The sequence below is a fragment of the Homo sapiens genome, chromosome 2, assembly GCF_000001405.40.
Source record: "Homo sapiens chromosome 2, GRCh38.p14 Primary Assembly".
Lineage (NCBI taxonomy): Eukaryota > Metazoa > Chordata > Mammalia > Primates > Hominidae > Homo > Homo sapiens.
The window spans coordinates 139331364-139353434 of record NC_000002.12 but is presented as its reverse complement, the minus strand read 5'-3'; the positions used below and the strand labels follow the sequence as shown (position 1 = coordinate 139353434).

Below are 22071 nucleotides of genomic sequence, written 5' to 3'. Positions count from 1 at the left end.
TGCTTCTAACAGCAAACAGGTCACATCTTGAATGTTTTGCTGCTTAGAAATTTCTTCTGTTGGATACTCTAAATCATCTCTCTCAGTTTCAAAGTTCCACAGATCTCTAAGGCAGGGGCAAAATGCCACCAGTCTCTTTGCTAAAACATAACAACAGTCATCTTTATTCCATTTCCCAAAAAGTTCCTCATTTCTGTCTGATACCACCTCACTCTGGATTTCATTGTCTGTATCATTATTAGCATTTTGGTCAAAGCCATTCAACAAGTCTCTAGGGAGCTCCAAACTTTTGCACATTTTCCTGTCTTCTTCTGAGCCCTCCAAACTCTTCCAAATTCTGCCTTTACCCAGTTCCTAAGTCACTTTCACATTTTGGGGTATCTTTTCAGCAACACCCCACTCTACTGGTACCAATTTATTAGTCCACTTTCATGCTACTGATTAATACATACCCATGACTGGGTAGTATACAAAAGGAAGAGAGGTTTAATGGACTTACTGTTCCACATGGCTGGGGAGGCCTTGCAACCATGGCGGAAGGCAAGGAGGAGCAAGTCACATCTTACATGGATGACAGCAGGCAAAGAGAGAGATTGTGCAGGGAAACTCCCATTTTTAAAACCATCAGATCTCATGAAACTTATTCATTGTCATGAGAGCAACATAAGAAAGACCTGCCCCCATGATTCAATTACCTCCCACCAGGTCTCTCCCACAACACATGGGAATTCAAGATGAGATTTGGTTGAGGACACGGCTAAACCATATCAATTACTGAGTATGTAACCTCTCAATCTTATGATATATATTTGATATTCTCTTATATTCAATTTCCATTGACTGTACACTTTCAGACTAATAGATTCACTATAGCATAATCAGCTTGGTGCTTTTAAATAGAAAAGTAATTCATATTAAAAATGATAGATTTTTAAAGCGTCTAATTATTTTAGTATCATCAAGTACCTTTTTGTTAACCAGATTTTATTATTATGTATATTTAATCTATAAGATGTAAAAGAAGAGAATAGACAATATTCAATAGAACAAAATACAGATGAGTATCAGTAGTGACATCTGTTTGAAAAAAATGGACATTTAATTTAAGTCATTTAGTTCCATGATCCGGAAATAGCATCCATATTTCCTGGACATACCAATGTAAGATGAATGAAAGGATTAGGCAGCAGGCAGTCTTAGAACATATCCACATTCTATGCCCCACTTCTTGAAGACATACTCAAGTAATTAAAAAATCCAGGAGAATATAAACCCAATTTCCCCAATGAAAACAATAACTGTTTGAAAAGTGGGGATTGTAATAGCATGCATGTATAATATGATTTGTAACAAATAGTGGTAAGAAGTCTCATACTATAGAGAAAATGGGCATTAAGAAAAATCCAAATGGAAATACAAGAACCTGCTACTAGATAAGAGATTTACACCAACAAAGCACATTTTTCTTTAAAAATTCTCATGTGTTAAGGGACATTTTCCACAATGTGACTATCCAAAACCTGCCTAGATAAAATGCATTTTTAATAGTTCTGCCTAGATGATGACACATTCACAAAGTGAAATGTTAATTATTTATCAAAGTGTTTGGTCCACTTGACACAAGCTAAGAAAATTGTAAAAAGTACTTCCAATGTTTTCAAAAATCAAATGTAAGATCCAATTTTATATATATGTTTATGGTCTCTTGGTAAGGAAAGGACCATTTGAATGACTGAAGGTTTAGAGGCTACATAATGCACTTAACTTAAACTGAAAGCTGCTATGTTCCCATCTTTAAGGCAAGACAGTTACGTGAATGTGAGCAAGTTCTTTAATACTGTCATGCCACATGATAGAATGTTAAAACTGAAAAAGGAATCTAAACTTATCTTGCCAACTACCAACTTAATGTCCAGCCATCAACAGGGATTTGAAACTCCAGTGTCTCAATAGTTAACAAGTGACAGAAACGTATAAATGTGTATAATGGCTGTATGTAACAAATGATATGGCTATTGGCTAATTCAAGTCTATATGTTTTGCCTAATATTATTCAATATGACATTGTCATATGCATTGTTGGCCAAATCCTTGCACTGCTCTGTAACATTTTGTTTGGTGGTTGTACAGCCTCTGTGCTACATACAAAAATACAAAATACTAGGATTCTGTTTGCCATTGAATATTTTACAATTGTTTTAATGAATACGTGAAACAGAAAAAGAAAGCTATCTACCAAAGTAGCTGAAATCCTTTAATAAAACACATGTGTCAGGCTAAGCGTCTTCTTAGTGTACTTCTAGATCTACATTTCCCATTTCTAGAGCATTGCTACCACACCCCCAAATGTGGTCCCTGGACCAGGCAGCAGCATCATCACTGGGAACTTGTTAGAAATGAGAAACCTGAAAAACCTGCCACCATAGACCACCTGATTCAGAAAGTGCATTTTAACAAGATATTCAGGTAATTTTTATGAATCTTTAAAATTTGAGAAGCCTTATACTAAAAGATGTGATATAAAAATTGGATTTGACCAGGCATGGTGGCTCATGACTGTAATACCAGCATTTTGTGAGGCCCAAGTTGTGCAGATCACCTGAGGTCAGCAGTTCGAGACCAGCCTGGCCAATATGGCAAAACCCTATCTCCACTAAAAATACACAAATTAGCCGGGCGTGGTGGCAGGAGCCTGTAATACAAGCTACTTGGGAGGCTGAGGCATGAGAATTGCTTGAACCTGGGAGGAAAAAGTTGCAGTGAGACAAGATTGTGCAACTGCTCTCCAGCCTGGGCAACAGACTGAGACTCTGCATCAAAAAAAAAAAAAAAGAAAAAGAAAAAAAGAAATTAGAGTTAACCTACTGAGAAATAAATTATCTTTTCATATTTGTATAAAGAATTGAGAAGAATGTACATTCTGTTGATTTGGGGTGGAGAGTTCTGTAGATGTCTATTAGCTCTGCTTGGTCGAGAGCTGAGTTCAAGTCTTGAATATCCTTGTTAATTTTCTATCTTGTTGATCTGTCTGATATTGACAGAGGGGTGTTAAAGTTTCCCACTATTATTGTGTGGGAGTGTAAATCTCTTTGTAGGTCTCTAAGAACTTGCTTTGTGTATCTGGGTGCTCCTGTATTGGGTGCATATATGTTTAGGATAGTTAGCTCTTCTTGTTGCATTGATCCCTTTGCCATTATGTAATGCCCTCTTTGTCATTTGATCTTTGGTGGTTTAAAGTCTGTTTTATCAGAGACTAGGATTGCAACCCTTGCTTTTTTTTTGCTTTTCATTTGCTTGGTAAATATTCCTACATCCCTTTATTTTGAGCCTATGTGTGTCTTTGCACGTGAGATGGGTCTCCTGAATACAGCACACTGATGGGTCTTGACTCTTTATCAAATTTGCCAGTCTGTGCCTTTTAATTGGGGCATTTAGCCCGTATACATTTGGGGTTAATATTGTTATGTGTGAATTTGATCCTGTCTTTATGATGCTAGCTGGTTATTTGGCCCATTAGTTGATGCAGTTTCTTCATAGTGATGATGGCACCATATAGCACTTATTCTAAAATCAACCACATAATTGGAAGAAGAACACTCCTCAGCAAATGCAAAAGAACAGAAATCATAACAAACAGTCTCTCAGACCATAGTGCAATCAAATTAGAACTCAGGATTAAGAAACTCACTCAGAACTGCACAACTAAATGGAAACTGAAGAACCTGCTCCTGAATGACTACTGGGTAAATAACAAAATTAAGGCAGAAAAAAATAAGTTCTCTGAAACCAATAAGAACAAAGACACAACATACGAGAATCTCTGGGACACAGCTAAAGAAGTATTAAGAGGGAAATTTGTAGCACTAAGTGTCCACAGGAGAAAGCGGGAAAGCTCTAAAGTCGACACCCTAACATCACAATTAAAAGAACTAGAGAAGCAAGAGCAAACAAACTCAAAAGCTAGCAGAAGACAATAAATAAGTAAGATCAGAGCAGAACTGAAGGAGATAGAGACACACACACAAAAAAACCCTTCAAACAGTCAATGAATTCAGGAGCTGGTTTTTTGAAAAGATTAACAAAATAGACCACTAGCCAGACTAATAAAGAAGAAAAGAGAGAAGAATCAAATAAACACAATGAAAAATGATAAAGGGGAGATTACCACTGATCCCACAGAAATACAAACTATCATCAGAGAATACTATAGACATCTCTATGCAAATAAACGAGAAAATCTAGAAGAAATGGATAAATTCCTGGATACATACACCCTCCCAAGACTAAACCATGAAGAAGTCAAATCCCTGAATAGACCAATAACAAGTTCTGAAACTGAGGTCGTAATTAATTGCCTAGCAATCAAAAAAAGTCCAGGGCCAGACACAGTCACAGCTGAATTCTCCCAGAATTACAAATTGGAGCTGAAACCATTCCTTCTGAAAGTATTACAAACAATAGAAAAAGAGGGACTCCTTCCTAACTCATTTTTTGACTCCAGCATCACCCTAATCCCAAAACCTGGCAGAGACACAGCAAAAAAAGGAAATTTTAGGCCAATATCCCTGATGAACATCAGTGTAAAAATCCTCAATAAAATACTGGCAAACCAAATCCAGCAGCACAATAAAAAGCTTATCCACCATGATCAAGTCGGTTTTATCCCTGGGATGCAAGGCTGGTTCAACATGTGCAAATCAATAAATATAATCCATCACATAAACAGAAACAATGACAAAAACCACATGATTATCTCAACAGATGCAGAAAAGGCCTTTGATAAAATTCAACACCCCTTCATGCTAAAAACACTCAATAAACTAGGTATTGCTGGAATGTATCTCAAAATAACAAGAGCCATTTATGACAAACCCACAGCCAATATCATATTGAATGGGAAAAAGCTGGAAGTATTCCCTTTGAAAACTGGCACAAAACAAGGATGTCCTCTCTCACCACTCCTATTCAACATATTATTGGAAGTTCTGGCCAGGGCATTCAGGCAAGAGAAAGAAATAAAGCATATTCAAATCGGATGAGAGACAGTCAAATTATCTCTGTTTGCAGATGACATGATCCTATGTCTAGAAAACCCCATCATCTCAGCCCCAAAACTCCTTAAGCTGATAAGCAACTTCAACAAAGTCTTAGGATACAAAATCTATGTGCAAAAATCACAAACATTCCTATACACCAATAATAGACAAACAGAAAACCAAATCATGAGTGGAATCCCATTCACAATTGCTACAAAAAGAATAAAATACCTAGGAATACAACTTACAAGGGAGGTGAAAGACCTCTTCAAGGGGAACTACAAACCCCTGTTCGAGGAAATAAGATAGGATACAAACAAATGGAAAAACATTCCATTCTCATAGATGGGAAGAATCAATATCATGAAAATGGATATACTGCCCAAAGTAATTTATAGATTCAGTGCTATTTCCATCAAGCTACCATTGACTTTCTTTACATAATTAGAAAAAACTACTTTAAACTTCATATGGAACCAAAAAAGAGCCCATATAGCCAAGACAATCCTAAGCAAAAATAACAAAGCTGGAGGCATGACACTACCTGACTTCAAACTATACTACAATGCTACAGTAACCAAAACAGCATGGTACTGGTACCGAAACAGATATATAGACCATTGGAACAGAACAGAGGCCTCAGAAATAATCACACACATCTACAACCATCTGATCTTTGACAAACCTGACAAAAACAAGCAATGGGGAAAGGATTCCCTATTTAGTAAACGGTGTCGGGAAAACTGGCTAGCCATATGCAGAAAACTGAAACTGGACCCCTTCCTTACACCTTATAAAAAATTAGCTCAAGATGGATTAAAGATTTAAACATAAGCCCTAAAATCATAGAAACCCTAGAAGAAAACCTAGGCAATACCATTCAGGACATAGGCATGGGCAAAGACTTAATGACTAAAACACCAAAAGCAGTGGTAACGAAAACCAAAATTGACAAATGGGATCTAATTAAACTAAAGAGCTTTTGCACAGCAAAAGAAACTATCATCAGAATGAACAGGCAACCTACAGAATGGGAGAAAATGCTTGAAATCTATCCATCTGACAAAGGGCTATTATCCAGAATCTACAAAGAACTTAAACAAATTTACAAGAACAAAACAAACAACCCTATCAAAAAGTGGGCAAAGGATATGAACAGACACTTTTCAAAAGAAGACATTTATACAACCATCAAACATATGAAAAAAAACTCATCATCACTGATCATTAAAGAAGTGCAATCAAAACCACAATGAGATAGCATCTCATGCCAGTTAGAATGATGATCATTAAAAAGTCAGGAAACAACAGTTGCTGGAGAGGATGTGGATAAATAGGAATGCTTTTACACTGTTGGTGGGAGTGTAAATTAATTCAACCATTTTGGAAGACAGTGTGGTGATTCTCAAGGATCTAGAACTAGAAATACCATTTGATCCAGTAATCGCATTACTGGGTATATACCCAAAGGATTATAAATCATTCTACTGTAAAGACACATGCACACGTATGTTTATTGCAGCACTATTCACAATAGCAAGGACTTGGAACCAACCCAAATGTGCATCATTGTTAGACTGGATAAAGAAAATGTGGCACATATACACCATGGAATACTATGCAGCCATAAAAAAGAATGAGTTCATGTCCTTTTCAGGGACATGGATGAAGCTGGAAACCATCATTCTCAGCAAACTAACACAGGATCAGAAAACCAAACACTGCATGTTCTCACTCATAAGTGGGAGTTGAACAATGAGAACATATGGGCACAGGGAGGGGAACATCACACACAGGGGCCTGTCAGGGGGTGGGGGGCAAGGGGAGGGATAGCATTTGGAGAAAAACCTAATATAGATGGTGGGTTGATGGGTGCAGCAAACCACCCTGGCACATGCATACCTATGTAACAAACCTGCATGCACTGCACATGTATCCCAGAACTTGAAGTATATATAAAAAAAGAAGAACTGAGAAATGAGACATTGTAGAACTTATGGAATCTTCGTTGCTTCAAAGTTTCAGAATTGTTTCTTTACCTTTCTCGTGTGGATTAAGCACACTCTTTCCAAAAGTAAAAGGAATAGACTGCATGACCTCTTAGTTGTGGTCCAGCCCTGCATTCTTAGGATCACCTGTGTTAGCTTGAAACTCCGTGTTGTTTTAAATAGCTGTATTCACATAATGGATTTCAATTTCTTCCTTTCCTTGAGGGGGTGGGAAAAGGTTGTAAGTTCAGCTTCCATTTACACAAAACAATTTAAGCTGAACACTCCACAAGACTATTGGCTTTAAGAAAAAGTATTTCCCAAGCATTGTAGATAAAAATAAATATTCTTGGTAAATATGAGTTCAGACCACGGATGAAATAAATGCTTTTTATTCATTAGTCAGTTTATAAGCCTAAAATGGAACTCTTAGCATACTTTCTCAGTTCTGATTCTTTTAGGATAAATTTGTGCATATAATTTGTAAATCCTCTGCAGAAAAATATTTTCAGGTACTTCTGAAACACATTCTTTTAATATTAAACACAAGAAAATCTTGAATATTTCCTTTAAAAGGTGAGTATGCTGTCTTATTTTAAACATTCACTGGAGAAGTACTCAATTCTAGGTAAATAATCACCTCATCAATCAAGTGTTACTATTTAGGATTAAATTTGCAAATGTACCATTTTGTGTCATTAAACATGTTTAGCATGCTGTTTTCCTCTATAAGCCCCCATTTCCCAGCATAGTGCTTAAGGTTACATGCATAAGAAATGTCTCAAAGTGAATAAAGATGGCCCAAACTCACCTCTTTACTCTTGCATAGAAATACTTCTTCTTATTGGTGTGTTATGTATACTGTATTAGAAAATGAACCTCAACCTTCTTGTCATACTGAGAGGAGACTATCTAATAAAAAGTAAATTCATTCAAGACGATCAATCCATATTCATGTAATTATAACTTTTAGAAAATCCTCTAAGTAGGCTGGGCGTGGTGGCTCATGCCTGTAATCCCAGCACTATGGGAGGCTGAGACGGGTGGATCACTTGAGATCAGGAGTTTGAGACCAGCCTAGCCAACACTGTGAAACCCCAAGCCAGGCGTGGTGGCAGGCAACTGTAATTCCAGCCAGGCTGAGGCACAGAATTGCTTGCACCCAGGGGCAGAGGTTGCAGTGAGCTGAGATTGCACCACTGCACTCCAGCCTGGGCGACAGAGCAAGACTGTCTCAATAAACAAAAACAAAAACAAAAAATAAAGAAAAGAAAATCCTCTAAGTAGCCAAACATGACTGTTGCATATGGATGCTACCTCATCAGGAATTTTCTAGGAGCCAGCTGGAAAGCTGACATTTTGACCTTGCAGGCACGGTAAATCTCTTCTCTGTTATCATCTACTTGTACCAGCAGGCAGAATACTTCTTATTACTCTCCCATTTTCTCTACTTGAAACTTTTTTTTTTTGAGACAGAGTCTCACTGTCTTGCCCAGACTGGAGAACAGTGGCCTGATCTCAGCTCACCACAACATCCGCCTCCCAGGCTCAAGGGATTCTCCCACCTCAGCCTCCAGAGTAGCTGGGATTACAGGTAATGACACTACTACCTGGCTAATTTTTGTACTTTTAGTAGAGACAGGGTTTCACCATGTTGGCCAGGCTGGTCTCAAGCTCCTGAACTCAAATGATCCACCCACCTTGGCCTCCCAAAGTGCTGGGATTACAGGCATGAGCCACCTCACCCGGCCTACTTGAAACTTTCTTAACCCACAGTTTATTGGGCATTGAGGAAGAGCTATGAAAAAAGGTATTACTTTTGTGGTTGATAATAAAATTGCAGGTCAATGTTATCTTTTATGGAAAGATTGCTGTGGCTCAGCAAATTAATTTTGAAAATGGACCTTAACTTTTATCATTAAGAAAACTATTTTTGTCAAGAAAACGAAAGGTAATTTGATACTGTGACTCTCTCAAAGAATGCAAGTATTTATTCATCCTAATTCAAATATGAAGACAAGATAAAGTCATGTAAACATGAGGTGGTGAGGAAATACAATCCTGTGGGTGTGTGCATGCACACACACACACATACCCACACACACATACACACACACTCAATATTGAGAATTATGAAAATCCCAGCCACCTACTTCACTTTCTCTGTTTCTATCTCTCAGATGATTCAGTAAAGTGAGGAAGAGAAAGTGGATTTGCACCATAGATTATAATCCACATGGTGCATATGGTGGAGTTATCTTTAGTAATAATTCAGTTACATTTGTGTTACGCACTCACTGTTTGTTGGCATGCACATACAGAGCTATCCAGTAAACACTTCGACTAGTATTGCCAATTAATATAGTGGTGTTATGGGCTGAATTTTGTCCCACCAAAAAAGATACTTTGAAGTTTTAACTCCTAGTACCACTGAATGTGATCTTATTTAAAAATAGTCTTTACATAAGTAATTCAATAAAAATGACCTCATTAGGATTGGCCCGAATCCAATATAGCTGATACCTTAAAAAGGATACAATTTGGACTAAAGATAGACATGCACGGAGGCAAGAAACTGTGAAGACACACAGAGAGGACATCATATGAAGGAGAAGGCAGATTGGAATGACACATCTACAAAGAAAGGAGCACCAAAGATTGCCACCAAACCACCAGAAGCTAGAAGAGAGGCACATGCCAGATCATCTTTCAAAGCTGTCAGAAGGAACCAGCCCTGCTGACACCTTCATTTCAAATTTATAATCTCCAGAAGTTGGAGACAATAAATTTCTGCCATTGAAGCCATTCAGTTTGTGATGCTTTGTTATGGTATCTCTGGGAAACACAGATGGGTTGTGATGTGTAGGATTATTTTACAGCATTAAACTAGATCTTTGGCAGACAGGAAGTTATTGAAATACAGACTTGCAAATGAATAAATGGTACCTTTTGAGAAACCAAAAATACATACAAAACTTTTAAAAACTGGCTAGTTGTCAATCTAAATTTGACTCAGAAAGATTTCCTAAAGAACTCCATAAAATCTCCTGAGATTGCATAAAAATGAACACTCAACTCTAGTTAGACCTATTAAAATGTATCAGGACCTTTTTTGACGTTGCATGGTGTTGACAATATTAAAGATTCAATATGTTCAACAGACCTAAACCAAGGCAGAGAGGTTTCTGCAAGTCTTTTCTCTTTGTTGTATTAAAAAATAATCCATGGTCGGGCACAGTGGCTCACACCTGTAATCCCAGAACTTTGGGATGCCAAGGCTGGCGGATAACAAGGTAAGGAGATCGAGACCATCCTGACCAACGTGGTAAAACCCTGTCACTACTAAAAATACAAAAAAATTAGCTGGGTGTGGTGGCACATGCCTATAATCCCAGCTACTCGAGAGGCTGAGGATGGAGAATGGCTTGAACCCGGGAGGCGGAGATTGCAATGAGCTGAAATTGCACCACTGCACTCCAGCCTGGCTACAGAGAGAGACTCCATCTCAAAAAACAAAAACAAAAACAAAAACAAAAACCATGAAAAGTATGCTTTTTAGACACACTGCTTCAATATTATATTTACTAGGCTCTTGCTATGGATGAGATACAATGCTAATGACTATTTCATAATTAGTAGGCTAGATTATACTTCAGTAAGAAACAGCCCCCAAAGCTAAATAGCATATCGTACCAGGAGGTTGATTTCTTCTCCAGCAGCATATCTATCATAGGTCAAGTAGAAGCTCTGCACCAGGCTTCTTCACTTCTGGTGGAAGGGCCACAAAGAAGCTACCATTTACATTTATCTTGAGAGAAAAAAAATGGGTGTTCTGTGAAGTCTTTGCAGACAAATATTCTGATCTGAAATTGACGCAAGTCACTTCTGTTCATAAGCAATTGACCAGAACTAATCATTTGCCCCCATCCAAACATGAGGTGGCAAGGCAATGCAATCGTACCCTCTGCCCAGAAAGCAGATACTGTAAATATTTGGTAAAGAGCACTAATAGCTGTCAAAATGATTTCACTTGCATGCATTTGGAGTTACAGAATTGTGACTCTAAGCCAAGATTATATAGTTGGAAAGTGGTGCTTCTGAGATTTGGACCCTGATCTGCTTAGCTCAAGAGCTTCTAATATCAATACTATAATATTTCTATTTTTTTCACATCTGAGCTTTTCCATGAAAATTGAAGTTACAGTAGAAGTGGAAAGATAATGAATAAAAGATAAACAGTGGAAAATGAAATGAGTAAACGTAAAAAAATGAAATTCTACATTTCATCTATTAGTAATTTACCCTTTTCTTTGAGATTTTATTTGCTTTAATTTTCAAGATGTAAATTTTTAAATACATTTGATATTTTATATGGATAATGCGTTTCATTTTTTTATTTGTACTCAGAAAAATGCTTTTTCCCCTAAAATCACATCCTGTGCCCCACAGTATTCTATGATGATATTGCTTATTTCTATGAAACAAATGACTCCCTGCAGTATTACTTTCAGATGAGATCGTATCAGCTTTCATAAGCTGAGACAAGTAAGGGTTGTGCACAAATGAGATCTCTGAGGAAAATCTAGATACTGTAAGAAAATACTTTCAGGGACTCAATAAATAACATTTGGAGGTGATTAAATTACAACAAAAAGAATTCTTCACTCTTAGCAAGCTGTTAAAATTCAACATCACAGTACTTATTTTAGATGAAATTAAACCAAAACTCTGGATTGTAACAATCTTTGTGTTCATTCTCATTTGTATAAGTTATAAAAACTCCAGGAACTAGCTAGATTTAAAAATTACAACAGAACACTAATATTTTGGTTTGCACTAATTTACTTACAACATGATAGGGGCTATTTATCCCCTCAATATTTTCTTATATTTGTATTACTAATAAAGTATTTCTGTTTCTCTCTCTCAATATAAAAGTGAGTTAAAATGAGACTATATACAGATACCTAATCCGTACTGTGAATTGCTCATACTATTAAACTATACAAATGCATCAATTAATAAAATGTTATGTGAGGACAGTTTTTAAGTCATGCCTTAGAAAGGCATTTAGATTTATTAGAATTGCCTGAATATGGGAATAGGAAAATGTAGCTCATGATATTTCTGCTTAATATGAGAAAGATCTTTATAACATTATAATTGTCCAACAATGTAAAAGGCTTCAGTAGATAGTACTGAGCTCTAAAATCTTAGAAAGGCTTAAAGCAAAGATTTAAACATTTCCATAGAATTATTGGAGAAGGAATCATGATAGGAAACTGACCAAAGACAGATAAGTTCTGTTTCCATTCTAAGATTCTATGATTCTGCTAATCATACAATGCAAATACTCGGCAAACACCATTCAGCACTTAGCCCTTCTCATGTCTGGGCAGCCTGGCCAACCCAGAAAAAAACTTAATCAATTTCAGTAAATTCTATGAGCAAAAGATGTAGACATGGTCACCTCAAGATGTAATGTCAGTTTACCTTAGCTCTAACAAATGGAAAAACAATGATGTTGGAAGTAGGGTTTTGAACACTCTGAATCCCCACAGTAGAAGACAAAAAAAAAAAAAAAAAAATGACCAAATTAAAGTGTGCAGGGTTTGAGAAAGAGGAGGTCACATTAAATGAGAAAAAGACAGAAGGTAGAGAAAAAAACAGATTATTGAAGTTGGGAAAAAGGACATCCTACTGTCAGGTTGTACCCTGTTATCAGGCAAGTGCTTTGTGAAGAATAATGAATAAAAGATTAAAAATCCCTTTGCAAAGATCGAGCTCCTACCAGCTCCCTAGGGAGGGGAGAAAGGGACTTAGCTGTTATGATGGTAACTTTGAACATCTCAGGCACTTAGCTAGCCCCCTCCTGGGCCTAAAAGACCAAATCAAGTGCATTAAATACTTAAGTTTTAAAAGCTCTCTAAGTTTTATCCTCTGAATGTGTGGATTTTAATGGTAGCTTGACAAAGTTTAATGAACAGTTCTGGGAGGATACTCAGATATACAAAGTACATAAATGTATTTTTATTATTCACAATTTAAAGTACTAAAGTACCTCTCAAATACTCTGGCATTTTAAAAACAGCTTGTTTAGAAAAAAAATGTTATGTTATTGTAAGCCAAGAAGAAGAAGTTTCATGAGGGCTATAAACCCCATAAAAACAAATCTGCAAAGGCCCAAAGAAAACCCCAACATATCATTAATACATTACATAGTGCCTTTCAATTCAAATATAATGACCTCAGCACAAAGGACAAAATATATATAAGAAGAGATCGATTTATACATCGTTTGAATCAAGCCACTTCTATTTGACAAATTTATCAGTGCAAGCAACAGTGTACCAGGTTAACAGAGGAAGTAGAAGACAACTTACCTCATAAATATACCAGACCCTATATAGGTAAATTGATCAATTTAATTTAAAATTGATAAAAGTGCCTCTGGAAATCATCTCTCTCTCTCTCTCTCTCTCCTCTCTCCTCTCCCCCCTCCTCTCTCTCTCTCCCCTCCTCTCTCTCTGTCCCCTCCTCTCTCTCTCTCACCTCCTCTCTCTCTCCCCCCTTCCCTCTCTCTCTCTCCTCCCTCCTCTGTCTCTCCTCTTTCTCTCCTCTCTCTCTCCCCTCCTTCTCTCTGCTATCTTTCTCCTCTTCTCTCTCCCCCTCTCTCCTCTCTCTCCTCTCTCTCCTCTCCCTTCTCTCCTCTCTTCTCTCTCTCTCTCCCCACTCTCCTCTCTCTCTCTCTCTCCCACTCTATCTCTCTCTCCTGCCACCCCCAAAATGACTGGGCTTTGATAACAATATGCTGGAGGAAATGTGGAATTGGGTGGACTCTGATTTAAAGGAACATTTTTTCACAGATACCGGAAATTTGAGTATTGTTATGCATTTCCCTCCATGGTATGCCAGGACTTCAGAGGGCTAAGAGCTACAGCAAAAGACTATCTTTCTCTCTCTCAATATACAAGTGAGTTAAAATGAGACTATATACAGATACCTATATACAGATACAGAGCCTCCATATTTCAGTCAGCATAATCCTGAAACCTCCATCACCCCTGATATGTACCAGGCACATCTGCTTCTAGGTTGTCCATTGTCAAACTTCCTGCTGGAGACAATCTATCAATCAGTACAGCACAGCACTTGACCTAAGTGAGAAATCAAGCCAAACAAGTCATCACCAAGAAGCTGGCTCCAAATGTACAGCTTATTATCTATAACATTATCTAATAGGTTAAGCAAAACCATAATTGAGTTATTTTCAGTTTGCGTCTCTACAGATCATTGTAAATATGCTTCCCATTACAACTATTCCTTAATCTTTTATTCATTATTCCCCATAAATTTGTCAACATTCAACCTCCATTACAGTGTTTGAAAATCACAATGACCTTAATAAGATCAAAAAGATTATTGAATTGCATATTATATATATTGACATGTAGGCATGAATTCTTTAGTATTTTTGCACTCTGAAGTGTCATTTACCCAATCCTTAAGTTAAGTGGAAGGTGTTCAGTAGTTCAGTCATAGTGAAGTTTGAGCCACAAAATAGCATTTAGAACAACAGAAAGGTGATTGAAATGGTCATTGTTGGATTTCTTTTATGCAACAGTGAGAGATGCCTTCTTTCTTTTGTGTCATCATCCTGAGCTCACACACATAAGAACTAGGTAGGATCTGGGTGATTTAAAAGACTCTTGCTATCCAATTGGAACATATTCAGACAAGGCATTTATTGATTCTTCTTTTTCTAAGTCAGTAGGGTGGCTAAAGCAAGTATCATGTGAGTTTAAATATGGTGACTACATCATAAAGAAATGTATATTTTCATTTGTTGCTTCTAAGAAGAGACAGTGAATAAAAACAATTCATCCACAGTAATTTATCTGGCAGGCATTTAACAATTGTTTAGTTCAGAATTTCTATACCCTAGTTCAGTGAAGCTTGAAATCACAGTATTATTTCTCATTTTGCTCATATGTTATCTGTATGCTTGAATGTACTGATAAATGGATTTGAATGTGAACTATCAGTACTAAGTAGAAAGTTTTTTTCTTTTGCATGATTAGAGCATCTTTCATGTAAATATTCTGGGTTGTGCTAGAAAATTTTATAGAGCATGTTAGATTATTGTGTTATGCTTCTTTCTTCAGGGTTTCTGAGAACAGGGCCCTACACTAACAGTCAAGATAACACACAGAAAAAATGTGTTTTTGTTTATGTTATGTTAGTTAATAAAATATTATATATTTTCAACAATTTTGAGGTATTTCTCCGAAGGCCGACCTCATTTCAAAGAGGTGACATTGTGTCTAAACTTCAACTTCAAATTATCAGCATGGGCTCACTTGCTCCTGCCTGCTCATTGACAACACCACCAGTCATGTAGTTACTCAAAAACTGCAGCAGCTCAAAGGTAGAAGATTCTGATGTGGGTGATTAGCCCACCTTCCTTCTCCTGAGATAGGTATCATGTTATTGAGTACAAACCTATGAAACAGACTCAAAGACAAAGCAGCAAATCAGGTAAATTAGAAGAGCAGAATGGGAATAACAGTAAAATACTGAGTGTTTGAAATACTTATAAAATTGCATAGCTAGAAGGCATCTTGAATGTGATTTAGTTTAATTATCTAATTCTGTAAATAAGAAATGTAGGTCTCATATATTGAGTAAGCCAATGAAATACAAAAATAAGCTTTAGTTGGACCAGGCGCCGTGGCTCACACCTGTAATCCCAGCACTTTGAGAGGCCGAGGTGGACAGATCACGAGGTCAGGAGTTCAAAACCAGCCTGACCAACATGGTGAAACCCCATCTCTACTAAAAATACAAAAATTAGCCAGGCTTGGTGGTGTGTTCCTGTAATCCCAGCTACTCAGGAGGGTGAGGCAAGAGAATTGCTTGAACTCAGGAAACAGAGGCTGCAGTGAGCCAAGATCGGCCACTGCACTCCAGCCTGGGTGACAGAGGGAGACTCCGTCTCAAAAATAAAATAAAATAAAATAAAATGAAATAAAATAAAATAAAAATAAGTTTTAATTGAACAATATAAGTTGTTAAAAAAATGACAGCACCATACAACTGCCCTCAGAGAGGAGTAGCCAGGAGTTTCATACAAATTGTCCAAAGATATGTAGCAAATTAGGGCTTAATATAGTATGAGATTCATTCAGAAAGGATCAGTGTGGCACCTGATGGCTGATATATGGCAACAAAAGCACAAAACTTTTGAAGACAAGTAGTTGTGGTTCCTAATGGCCCAGTGGCAATTACCCAAGCCAGTGGATAAAAATGTGGGAAGCCTGGATAATTTTTCTAGAAAAACAGGTGATATGTTAGAACTCTTACAAACTAGGCTACATTTTAGGGAAGATCTTCTGTTTTAAGACAAATTTAGAATGCTGAGTGGTTTTAAGTTGGTAGGCCAGCAATACCAGCACAGAGAAAGCTGCACGAGAATAGACATTGAAATTTTCAGGAATTATTTCAGTCTTACTGATCGATTCTATTTTAATGTGGTTGTAATTTGCCTGCTCTGCATTTGTGCTTTTGTTTTTGTGCCCCGTGTACTTTCATTTAAATTCCAACACTTTAAAAATCAGGAAAATTCACATTAAAACCTGGATATTTCTCTTTTCTTTCCTTTTTTTTTTTTTTTTTGGTAGAGTCTCACTCTGTCATCACTCAGACTGGAGTACACCAGAGCAATATCAGCTTACTGTAACTTCCACTTCCCAGGTTCAAGCGATTCTCCTGCCTCATCCTCCCAATTAGCTGCGATTACAGGTGCCTGCCACCACGGCCGGCTAATTTTTGTATTTTTAGTAGAGACGGGGTTTCACCATATTGGTCAGGCTGGTATCAAACTCCTGACCTCAAGTGATCCGCCCACCTTGGCCTCCCAAAGTGCTGGGATTACAGGTGTGAGCCACCATGACTGGTTGATATTTAGCTTTTCTTTACTCCCTATTTTTTTCATCTTAAAACCAAGGATCAGATATAACTTAATCATCTCACTTGAGCTATTGATTTTGTTGTATCTAGCACGTTTATTATATATACCTGTAGGCTTTTGAGTCTCTGTATCTCAATTTATACTACAAAGGGATAATCAGTAACATCATAATATATATTTTAATTATCATTTCATTGCATTCATGTTTTGAAAGATCATTGTTTCTACAAATGTATATTATTAACTGTTTAGGTCATTTCTAGAATAGCAGCTATGATATATTGCAAAAAAAGGTTCAAATTACCCTCCCTGTATCCAAGCCTTTTATACTGTAACACAGTAGTACTATTTGTCTGTGACTCTAGTCTCAGCCATATAACTTGCTCTGGCAAATCATACTTGCCACAAATGTAAGGATACTTGCCACATGCTGAGGTAGGAAAAAGCACTTGGACATTTATGTTTTGCCATTCTTGAATCTCTGCCAATGCTAGACATGCTCAGAGTGGTCTGCTGGAGCAAAAAACATGTGAATTACAGCTGAGTTGTACTAGTTGTTCCAACTGGGGACCTCCGCGTTTAGCCAACAGCCAAATGAAGAGTGTGCATGTGTGTAAATCCAGCTCACTTCAGAGCAGCAGAATTGCCCAGCTGAGCCCAACTAAAATAGTTAACCAATGAGTTTGTGAGCTAAATAAAAGTTTATTGTTTTATTCCACTGAATTCGATGTGATTTGTTGAGCAGCTCTATTGGAGCAATGAATTACCATTATAGAAAGAAATTTTTACTTGGAAGTGAAATGCTGTTGTAACAAAACCTAGAACCCTTTGGACTTGCTTTGAGATTAGACAGCATGGGACAAAGAAACTATTAAGGGAAGTAAGAAACATGGCAAGAAAGCTATTATTGCAAGGATAGAATAAATGGCAACTTATATTTTGTAGTGGCAAAAATTTTGGTAAAATTGTTACCTGTGGTACCTTGAAAGAAAAAACATCTCCTTTAAGAAATTTTAGACCTGGGAGAAGACATTTTCTGATAAAATTTTGATAGCATTTTACTAAGTTGTTTTCCTTTTCTATGAATAAATATATACTACAAGGAAACATCTTAAAACAGAAAGAAAGAAAGAAGGAAAGAAAGAAAGAAAAAGAAAGAAAAGAAAGAAAGAAAGAAAGAAAGAAAGAAAGAAAGAAAGAAAGAAAGAAAAGGAGAGAGAAAGGAAGGAAGGAAGGAAGGAAGGAAGGAAGGAAGGAAGGAAGGAAGGAAGGAAGGAAGGAAGGGAAAGAAAAAAAGAGATGGCCATATGGTTTTTGTTTTTGGTTTTGTTTATGTGATGAATCACATTTATTGGTTTACATTTGTTGAACCAACCTTGCATCCCAGAAATGAAACCTACTTGGTCATGGTTGATTAGGTTTTGATGTGCTGCTGGATTTGGTTTGCCAGTAGATTGTTGAGGGGTTTTTGTTTGCTTGTTTGTTTGTTGTGTTTCTGTTTGTTTGTTTGTTTTGGTGTCTCTGTTCAGGAAGGGATATTGACCTGAAGTTTTCATTCTTTGTTGTGTCTCTGCCAGGTTTTGGTAACAGATGATGCTGGCCTTATATAATGAGATAAGCAAGAATCCCTCCTCTTCAATTTTTTTTTGAATAGTTTCAAAATTAAGCTAGAATCATACCAGCTCTTGTTTATACTTCTGTTAGAGTTTGGCTGTGAATCCATCAGGTGCTGGGCTTTTCCTAGTTGGTAGGCTTTTTATTATTGATTCAGATCAGGAGCTTGTTATTGGTCTGTTCAGGGATTCAATTTCTTCTTGGCTCAATCTTGGGAGGTTATTATATGTTTCCAGGAATTTATCCATTTATTCTATTTTTTTTTATTATTATACTTTTAAGTTTTAGGGTACATGTGCACATTGTGCAGGTTAGTTACATATGTATACATGTGCCATGCTGGTGCACTGCACCCAGTAACTCGTTTTTTTTTTATTTTGTGTGATCAAAGGTATTCATAGTACTCTCTGAGGGTTTCTTGTATTTCTGTGAGGTTGGTAGTAATGTCTCCTTTGTCATTTGTGATTCTGTTTATTTGGATCCTCTTTCTTTTTTCTTTGTTGATCTAGCTAATGGTATATCTTATTTTTTTCAAAATATCAAATCTTGGATTTGTTAATATTTTGTACATTTTTTCCATTTTTTTTCAATTGTCCTCTGATTTTGGTTATTTCTTTTTTCCTGCTAACTTTGGAGTTAGTTTGCTCTGTTTTATTGGTTGCTGTATATGTGATGTTAGGCTGTTAATTTGGGATATTTCTATCTTTTTGATATGGACATTTACTGCTATCAACATTCCTCAGCACTGATTTAGCTATGTCCTAGATATTCTGGTATGTTGTATCTTTGTTCTCATTAGTTTCAAAGAACTTCTTGATTTCTGCCTTGATTTATTTATTTGCCCAAACGTCATTCAGGAGCAGGTTGTTTTTCCATGTAATTGTATGGTCTTGAGCAATCTTCTTAGTATATAGCTCTATTTTAATTGTGCTGTGTTTTGAGAGTGTGGTTGGTATGACTTCTGGTCTTTTGAATTTGCTGAGTATTATTTTATGTCTCATTCTGTGGTCAGTTTCAAGGTGGAGAGTTCTATAGATGTTTATTATGTCCATTTGGTCAACTACTGAGTTCAGATCCTGAATATATTTGTTAATTTTTTTACTCCATGATCTGTCTGATAATTCCATTTGGGTGTTGAAGACTCTTGATATTATTGTGTGGTTATCTAAGTCTCTTCATAGATCCCTAAGAACTTGCATTATGAATCTGGGTGTTCCTGTGTTGGGTGCATACACATTTAAAATGGTTAGATCTTGTTGAATTGACCTGTTTACCATTATGTAGTGCTCTTGTTTCTCTTTTTTAGTCTTTGTTGGCTTAAAGCCTATTTTGTCTTAAATTAGAATAGCAACGCATGCCTTTTTTCTGTTTTCTGTTTGTTTGGTAGATTTTTCTTTATTACTTTACTTTGAGCCTATGGGTGTCACTACATATGAGCTCAGTCTCTTGAAGACTGTAAGGCTTAGGTCTTGCTTCTTTATCCAACTTGTTACTCTATGTCTTTTATTTGGGGCATTTAGTCTGCTTACATCCAAAATTAGTAATAAGAAGTATAGATTTAATTCTGCCATCATGTTATTATCTGGCTATGATGAAACCTTGTTTGTTTCATTGTTTTATAATGTCACTGGTCTATGTATTTAAGTGCATTTTTTTTTTAGTGGCTGGTAATGTCTTTCTTTTCCATAGTTAGTACTCCCTTCAAGAACTCTTGTAAGACTGGTCTGTTGGTAATTAATTTCCTTAGCATTTGCTTGTCTGAAAAAGATCTTATTTCTTCTTTGCTTATGAAGCTTAGTTTGGCTGGATATGAAATTCTTGATTGGAAATGAATAACAGCAATGATACGAGGAAGGAGAGAAAGAAATTAGCAATATTCTGTTATTATAAGTTACTTGAACTAGCTGTGAGGAGGTTTAGCATTATTTTAAAGTTAACTTGAATTAATTGTAAATGTATACTACTTACTCTGAGAAAACCATAAAAATAAAAAATTTAAAAAGTAGTATAACTAATATGCTAAGATAGAAGAAACAATGACATAATATAAAATGCTCAATTAATATCACAAATCAGAAAAAGTGTGGAAGATAGAAACAGGAATAAAGATCAAAAACAACAAATAGAAAACAGTAGCAAATATAGTAATATTAATTCAACTATATCAATAAGCACCTTAAATATCAATGCTCTAAATATACCAATTAAAAGACAGAGATTGTCAGAGTGGATTAAAAAATATGATTGAACTACAGTTGACCTTTGAACAACATGGGTTTGAACTGCACAGGTCTACTTACATGTGAATTTTCTTTTGCCTCTGCTGCCCCTGCAACAGAAAGACCAACTTATCCTCTTGCTTTTCCTTCTAAGCCTACTCAACATGAAAACAATGTGGATACAAATTGTTATGATTATCGATTATCCATTTCAATGTAATGAATAGTAATATGCTTTCCCTTCTTTACAATTTTCTTCATAATATTTCCTTTTCCGTAGCTTACTGTATTGTAAATATATAATATATACCACATATAGCGTAGAAAATATGTGTTGATTGACTGCCAGTCAATAGTATCCTGTAAGTACTTAAGTTTTGGGAGAACCAAAGTTATGCATGGATTTTCAATTGTGCATGGTCTCAGTGACCCTAACCTCATGTTATTCAAAGGTCAACTGTGTTTTTCTTCAACAAGAAAAAACACCTTAAATATAAAGACACTTGTAAATTAGAAGTAAAGGGGTGTAGAAAGATATAACATGCTAACATTAAGCAAAAAAAGTTGAAATGATTATATTAATTTCAGACATAGAAGACTTTAGAGAAAGAAAATTTTTCAGGGATAAAGAGAGGTATTACATAAAAACAAAAGGGACAATATCGCAAGAAGACATAACAATCTTTAATGTATAGCACTTAACAGCAAAGCATGAAAGTACCTGGGGTAAAAACTGATAGAATTGCAAGGAGAAACAAGTAAATTTACTATTATGGTTTGAGTTGTAACAACACCATATCAGAAATGGGTAGATCCAGCTCACAGCAAATCAGTAAGAACACAGCTGAGTTCAACACCATCAGTCAATGAGACATAATTGATATTTACTGACTACTTCAGTCCACAGCAGAACACGAGCTCATAATGAATATTCACCAAGATAGACCACATTCTGAGCTATACAACACACCTTACTCAGAAAGAATATAAATCATACGGTGTATATTCTCAGATCACAATAAAATTAAACTAGAAATCAGTAACAGAAAGATAATTGAATAAACTCAAAATACTTGGATATTAAAGAACACACTTTGAAGTAACACATGGATCAATGAAGAACTTTCCAGAGAAATTAAAAAATATTTTGAACCACATGAAAATGGAGCTATAATCTTTCAAAATTTGTAGGGGGCAGTGAAAGCAAATATTAGAGAAAAAAATTATAGCATTGAATGCAAATA

General features: G+C 36.2%; 1 long non-coding RNA gene across 2 annotated transcripts in view; it reads right to left on the bottom strand.

The window, feature by feature from the left end:
- Positions 1–22071, bottom strand: part of LOC105373643 (uncharacterized) — a 144473-nt gene that overhangs the window by 25711 nt on the left and 96691 nt on the right. Inside the window, exons 4-5 of one of the 2 annotated variants that reach the window (NR_188040.1) lie at positions 14100–14181; positions 10718–10832 (exon numbers count right to left, since the gene is read on the bottom strand). This is a non-coding gene — a long non-coding RNA (uncharacterized LOC105373643). Of the gene's footprint in view, positions 1–10717; positions 10833–14027; positions 14182–22071 lie in introns of both variants that reach the window. The other variant, NR_188041.1, reaches the window with a different exon arrangement.